Source organism: Homo sapiens, chromosome X (assembly GCF_000001405.40).
Source record: "Homo sapiens chromosome X, GRCh38.p14 Primary Assembly".
NCBI lineage: Eukaryota > Metazoa > Chordata > Mammalia > Primates > Hominidae > Homo > Homo sapiens.
Genome location: NC_000023.11, coordinates 46,345,744 through 46,353,325, shown reverse-complemented (window position 1 = coordinate 46,353,325; position 7,582 = coordinate 46,345,744).

Genomic DNA, 7,582 nt, shown 5'->3' with positions numbered 1-7,582 from the left:
TAGTGACCCACTAGTAAAACTTTTGCTTCCCGTTCCTGTGATTTTATGCTCTGCTGGCTAGCGATCTTAGTTGCAGAGGGAGGAATGCTTTCACCAGGAGTCATAACAATAATTCCATTGAACTGGAAGTTAAGACTGTCACCCAGCCACTTTGGGCTCTCATGCCCCTGAGTCAAGGCCAAGAAGAGAGTTATAGTGTTGTCTGGGGTGATTAATCCAGACTACCAAGAGGGAATTGAACTACTACTCCACCATGGAGGTAAGAAAGAGTATGTTGGGAATACAGGGACCCCTTAGGATGTCTCTAGTTTTATCATTCCCTGTGATTAAGGTCAATGGAAAACTGTAACAACTCAATCCAGGCAGGACTATTAATAGCCAAGACTCTTTAGGAATAAAGATTTGGGTCACTCCACCAGCTAAAGAACCACAACCAGTTGAGGTGCTTACTGAATGCAAAGAGAATATGGAATAGGTAGTGGATGAAGGTAGTTATAAATGCCAACTACAATCCACATGACCAGAAAAGAAGACTGTAATTATCATGAGTATTTCCACCTTATTTTGTTGTGAATATACTCGTGTGTCTGTGTGTAGCAAATATCTTTGCTTTCTTTCATCTTATCTCTTATCATATAACATAATATGTATTGACTTTATATCAGTATTTAAGTATTGTTAACTTTATATCATAGTATTTAAGTTATGGGATATCAGGAGAAGAGTAAACATCACTCAAGGACTTTCCTCTTCTGGGGAAGGGATTAGTGCATTTTCAGTTGTATATAGAATAGTTATATCATGTTAGGTGGAATTATGACCTTGTTATTGTCTTCTCTTGGAGATTAAGTATGGTTTAAGGAGATGCCTATGGGTGCCAAGTTGACAAAGATGAACTTGTGACAGTTAATTTTATATGTCAACTTGAGTGGTCTAAGGGATGCCCAGATAGGTGGTAAAACATTATTTTTGAGTATGTCTGTAAGAGTGTTTCTGGAATAAATTAACCTTTGAATCAGTAAACATGGTAAAGAAAATCACACTCACCAATGTGAGTGGCCATCATCTAATACATTGAGGGGCCTAAATAGAACAAAAAGGCAAATGAAGAGCAAATTTGCTCTCTCTGCTTGAGCTGAGACATCCATATTTTCCTGCCCTCAGATATCAGAGTTCCTGGTTCTTGGGCATTTGGATTTGGACTGGGACTTACACCTCTGGCTCCCTGGTTCTTAGACCTTTGGACTCAGACTGAGAGTTACACTATTGGCTCCCCTGATTCTCAGGCCTTCAGGCTTGGACTAGAAGTACACTGCTGTTTTTCCTTGATCTCCAAGTTGCAGACAGCAAATTGTGGGACTTCTTAGCTTCTTAGCTTCTATAATTGCATGAGCCCATCCTCCATAAAAAATCTCTTTCCAGCTGGGTGTGGCGGCTCATGCCCACCCAGCGGCTCATGTCTTTGGGAGGCCAAGGCGGGTGGATCCTTTGGTCTTAGGAGTTAGAGACCAGCCTGGGAAATATGATGAAACCCCATGTCTACAAAAAATATGAAAATTAGCTGAGTGTGGTGGTGCACACTTGAAGTCCCATTTACTCAGGAGGCTGAGGTGGGAGGATCGCTTGAGCCCAGAAGGTTGAGCCTACAGTGAGCCAAGATTGAGCCACTGCACTCCAGCCTGGGTGATGAAACCATCTAAAAAAAACTCTCTCTCTCTCTCTGTATATATCCTATTGGCCTGTTTCTCTATAGAACCATGACTAACACAGACTTTGGTACTGAGAGTGGGGTGGAAGCAGTACCTAAAAATATGAAAGTGGCTTTAGAACTGGATAGCAGGTAAAGATAGGAAGAGTTTTGAGGTGCATGATGGAAAAAGTCTATGTTGCTATGAAGAGACCACTAAGGGTGATTCTGGTGAGAGCTCAGAAAGAAAAGAATAGGGCTGTAGAGAAAGCCTCAGTTTTCTCAGAGAACATCTAAGTGATCCTGAATAGAATGTTGGAGAAATATGGGTGGTAAAGGCCATTCTGGTGAGGTCTTAGACAGAAATGAGGAACATGTTATTGGACAACAGAGAAAAGATGATCATTGTTATAAAGTGACAAAGAACTTGGCTGACTTGTGCATATGCTCTAGTGTTTTGTGGAAGGTAGAACTTGTGAGTGATGAAACTAGATATTTATTTCAGGAAATATCTAAGCAATGTGTTGAAGGTGCAGCTTGGCTTCTTCTAACTACTTATAGCAAAATGTGAGAAGAGAGAAGTGACTTAAAGTTGGAATTGTTAAGCAAAAGGAAGCAGAAATGAAAGATTCTTAGGAAAATTCTTAGCCTATACATATTGCAAAAAATGAGGACATTAAAGATGTGGCCAAATGACTGTTTGATAAGGAGATTAGTGTAGATCAGCCATCTCAACGGAAACTAGGTGTTATTCTTCAAGACAATGGAAGAATTACCCCAAAGGCAATTCAGAGATCATCAGGCTAGCCATTCTATCTGAGACTGCCAGTGCCTGTGGAACTTCAGCGCACCCTGCTCATTGCCAGCTCACTTTGTGGTCTCCACTCACTGTACTACTTTGTCACCCCAGGTGCAGCTCCCATGGGTCCTGGTGCAGCATGGACTGTGGTGGCTGCCCCTCTGGAGGGTGCAGATAGCAAACTTTGGTGATGTCCATGTGGTACTGTCTTCTCTGGTATGCAGAATGCATAGGCTGAGGTGGGGGCGTGGCTGCTTGCACCTAGGTTTCAAAGGCTGAAACACCATGGCTGCAGGCACACAGTGACAACCTGGAAGATCTGTGGCATGAGGGCACAGATCCTGCCATGGAGTCATACCATAAAGCTGTGAAAGTGACATTGCCACTCAACATTGTCACCCAGTGGGCCTGGATGTCAGAGCATCAAGTCAAAGAAATTATTCTCAAGCCTTAAGGTCTAATGGAATTTGCCCTGTTAGGTTTTAAACTTACTTGAGACCTGTCCCCTTTTTCTTCTTTCTTCTTTCTCTCTTTTGGAATGGGAATGTCTGTCTATACCTGTCCCACCATTGAACTGTGGAAGCACATAACATGTTTGGTTTCACAGGTTCACAGCTGGCAGGAATTTGCCTTAGGATGAATCCTATCTTGAATATCATCCATATCTGATTTAGATAATATTTGGATGAGACTTTGGACTTAGATTTTAAAGTTGATACTGAAATGAGTTAAGACTTTTGGGTTTATTGGAATGGAATGAATATATTTCACATGTGAGAAGGTCATGAATTTTGGGGGACCAGGGACAGAATGCAATATACTGAATGTTTGTGTACCCCCAAAAGTCATATGTTGAAATCCTAATCCCTAAGGTGATGGTATTTGGAGATTGGGGCCTTTGGGAGGTGATTAGGTCATGAGGGTGGGGCCCTCATGATTGGATTAGTGCCCTCATAAAAGAGATCCCGGAGACTTCTTTTGCCCCTTCTGCTCTGTGAGGATACAGTGAAAAGATGGCCATCTGTGAATCAGGAAATGGGCCCTCACTGGGTACCATATCTGCTGGTGCCTTGATCTTGGACTTCCCAGCCTTCAGAACCATGAGAAATAAATTTCTCTTGTTTATAAGCCCCCTAGTCTATGGTATTCTGTTATAGCAGCAAAAATGAACTAAGACAGGGATGTAAGTCAGTGCAATTGCTGGGTTGTATGGTAAGCCATGTTTAGTTTTCTAAGAAAGTTTTACACTCTTTTCCAGAGTGGCTGTACCATTTTCCCATTACCACTAGCAATTTATAAGTGATTCCATTTCTCTACATCTTTGCAAGCATTTGGTATTTTCACTTTTTTTTTTTTTTTTGAGATGGAGTTTCACTTTTGTTGCCCAGGCTGGAGTGCAATGGCGCAATTTTTTGGCTCACTGCAACCTCTGCCTCCCAGGTTCAAGCGATTCTTCTGCCTCAGCCTCCCAAGTAGCTGGGATTACAGGCATGTGCCACCATGCCTGGCTAATTTTGTATTATTTTTAGTAGAGACGGGGTTTCACCATGTTGGCCAGGATGGTTTTGAACCCCCGACCTCAGGTGATCCACTCGCCTCGGCCTCCCAAAGTTCTGGGATTAGAGGGGTGAGCCACCGTGCCCAGCTCACTATTTTTTATTGTAGTCATTCTGATAGGTGTGTACTGCTATTTCATTGTAGTTTAAATTTGCATTTTCCTGATGGCTGATGATATTTAACATATTTTCATGCATTTATTTGCCATTTGAATATCCTCTTTGGTGAAATGTCTGTTGAGGTCTTTTGCCTATTTTCTTATGGATTTTTTTTTAACTTTGGGTTTTTGAGGGTTCTTTATATATTCTAGATATTATTCCTTTGTCAGCTATGTAGTTTGCAAATATTTTCTCCCAGTCTGTTGCTTGTTTTTCCATGTTTTCAACAGGGTCTTTCACAGATCAAAGTTTTAAATTTTGATGAGGTCTGATTTATCAGTTTTCCTGGATCATGCTTTTGGGGTCAAATCTAAGAACTCTTTGCCTAGTCCTAGATCATGACAATTTTCTCCTATAATGTTTTTCTCTAAAAGTTTTATAGTTTTACATTTTATATTTATGTCTGTGATCCATTTTGAGTTAATTTTTTACTTGAGGTATGAGATTTAGTAAAGGTTTTTGTTTTGTTTTTTAACCTATGGATGTCCAATTTCCCCAGCACCATTTGTTGAAAAGGCTGTCCTTCCTTCATTGAATTTCTTTTGCATCTTTGTCAAAAATCAGTTGAGCATATTTATGTGAGTCTAGAGAACCCAGGTTCTCTACTCTGTTTCCTTTATCTATGTGTCTATTCCACCACCAATACCATACTGTTTTGATTACTGTAGACATATAGTAGGTCTTAATGTTGGGGAGAATGATCCCTCCCACTTTATTCTTCTTTTTCAATATTGTTTTAGCTATTTTAGGGCTTATGCCTTTTCAAATAAATTTTAGAATAAGCTTGTCTGTGTCTACAAAAAACCTTGTTGGCTTTTGATAGGAATTGCATTAAGCCTATACAGTAATTTGGGGGAAAACTCACAACTTTACCTTGTTGGGTATTCTAATCAATGAACACTGATTCTCCATTTGTTTATTCTTTTACTTCTTCCATCAGTATGTAATTTTCACCATATAGATCTTGTGCATGCTTTCTTAAGTTTATAAGTAAGTATTTCATTTTCTTTGTGGAGAATGCAATGGTATTGTTTTGAAAGTTGGTTTCTACATGTTTATTGTAGTATATAGAAATATGATTAATTTTGTGTGTTGATTTTTGTATCCTGCTACCTTGCTGAACTCACTTATTATTTCTAGGAGTTTCTGGTAGATTTCTTGGAATTTTCTATATACATAATTGTGTCATTTGCAAATAGAGGTAGTTTCATTTCTTCCTTTCCAATCTATATACCTTTTATGGTGGCTAAAACTTCTTGCACTATGTTGAATAAATGCTGAGAGTGGACATTCTTGCTTTGTTCCAAGACTTAGGAAGAAAACATTTAGTCTTGTACCATAAAGTATGATGTTGAAGCCAGATGAGGTGGCTCATGCCTGTAATCCCAGCATTTTGAGAGTCTGAGGCAGACAGATCCCTTGAGCTCAGGAGTTCGAGACCAGCCTGGGCGACATGGTGAAACCCTGTCTCTACAAAAATATGAAAATTAGCTGGGTGTGGTGGCACACACCTACAGTCCCAGCTACTCAGGGGGCTGAGGCAGAAGGATCACTTGACACTGGGAGGTCAAGCCTGTAGTGAGCCAAGATTGCACCACTGTATTCCAGCATGGGCAACAGAGTGAGAACTTGTTTCAAAAAAAAAGTATGATGTTAGCTGTGGGTTTTTTGTAGATGTTCATCAAGTTGAGGTGGTTCCTATTTATTCCTGAGAGTTTTTATCATGACTAGGTGTTGGATTTTCTCAAATGCTTTTTCTATGTCAATTAATATGATTGTATGATTCTCCTTCCTTAGCCTGTTGATAGGGTCTATTACAATGATTTATTTTCAAATGTTTAACCAGCCTTGCATACCTAAAATAAATCCCATTTGGTCTTGATGTATAATTCTTTTTATAGTATATTCCTGGATTTGTCAATATTTTATTGAGGATTTTTTTTGTTTATGAGAGGTATTCTGTAGTTTTTTTGTTCTTTCTTTTCTTTGGTACTGTCTTTGTATGGTTATTGGTATCTGGGTAGTATTAGTCTCATAAAATGAGTTGGCAAGTGTTCCCACCTCTGCTGTTTTTTGGAAGATATTGTGTAAAATTGGTATTAATTCTTTTTAAAATGTTTGATAGAATTTTCCAGTGAAATCATTCAGGAGCCCTTTAATTACAAAATCATTTTTCACCCAGTGGTTATAGAACTATTCAGGTTGTCTATTTTATTGTGATTGAGTATGGTAGTTTGTGGATTTTGAGAAATTGTTCCACTCCTAAGTTTTTGAATTTGTGAACACACAGTTGCTCATAGTATTCCTTTATATTCCTTTAATGGCTGCAGGATCTGTAGTGATATCCTATGCTTTATTTTTGAGATTGGTAATTTGTGTCTTCTCTCTTTTTTATCTTTGCCAGGCTTGCTAAAGTTTTATTGATTTCACTGATTTTTAAAACAATTTAGTTTTGCTTCATTGATTTTCTATATTGTGTTCCTGTTTTTAATATCACTGATTTCTGCTTTTTACTATTTCCCTTCCTCTTCTTTTTAGTTTATTTTGCTCTTCTCTTTCTAGTTTCTTGTTTTTACTTATTCTGATGTTCTTCTTTCCTTTTTGAAGTTCCACACCTTCTTCTGTTATCATTTCCACTTTTTTTTTAGAAAGTCTCTTTTAGCAATTCTTTAAGGATAGATTTGCTAGCAACAAATTCTTAGTTTTCCTTATTCCAAGAATATCTTTACTTCTTCTTTATTACTGAACAAAATTTTTGCTTGATATAGAATTTGCAATTGACAGGTCTTTTCTTCCAATACTTGAAAAATGTGTTATTTCCTTCTGGTCTTCATGGTTTCACATGAGAAATACCCTGTGATTCAAATTGGTGTTCCACCATAAATAATGCATTTATTTCTTTTTGGATTTCATGGTTCCTTTTCTTTCTGTTTTGTGTCTTTCATTTTCAGAACTTTTCAGAAGTTATGTGTCTTGGCATGTTTTTCTTTAGATTTATCCTGTTTGGGATTCACTCCACTTCTTGAATCAATCTCTAAGCTTCTGTCTCTCACCAAATTTGGAAAGTGTTCAGCCATTATTCTTCAAGTACTTTTTCAATCCTACAAACATTTTATCAGCCCTCTGTCTCTTCTTTTTAGTATTCCATGAGACAAATGTTATCTATTTTATCATCTCACCAGTTCCTGAGATTGTTCATTTTTTTCAGTCCATTTTTTTTCCTTTGAAAATGCAAAGTATTTATTAATTTAAAAATCTTCTCATAACAGGGATCCTAGCTTGTAGTAAAGGCTACATTGTCTATATTTCATTCTTTAGGGCGAAGTCTGCCTAAGCTATTTCAAACAAATACATGTTAACAATGTTAACATACAATACATG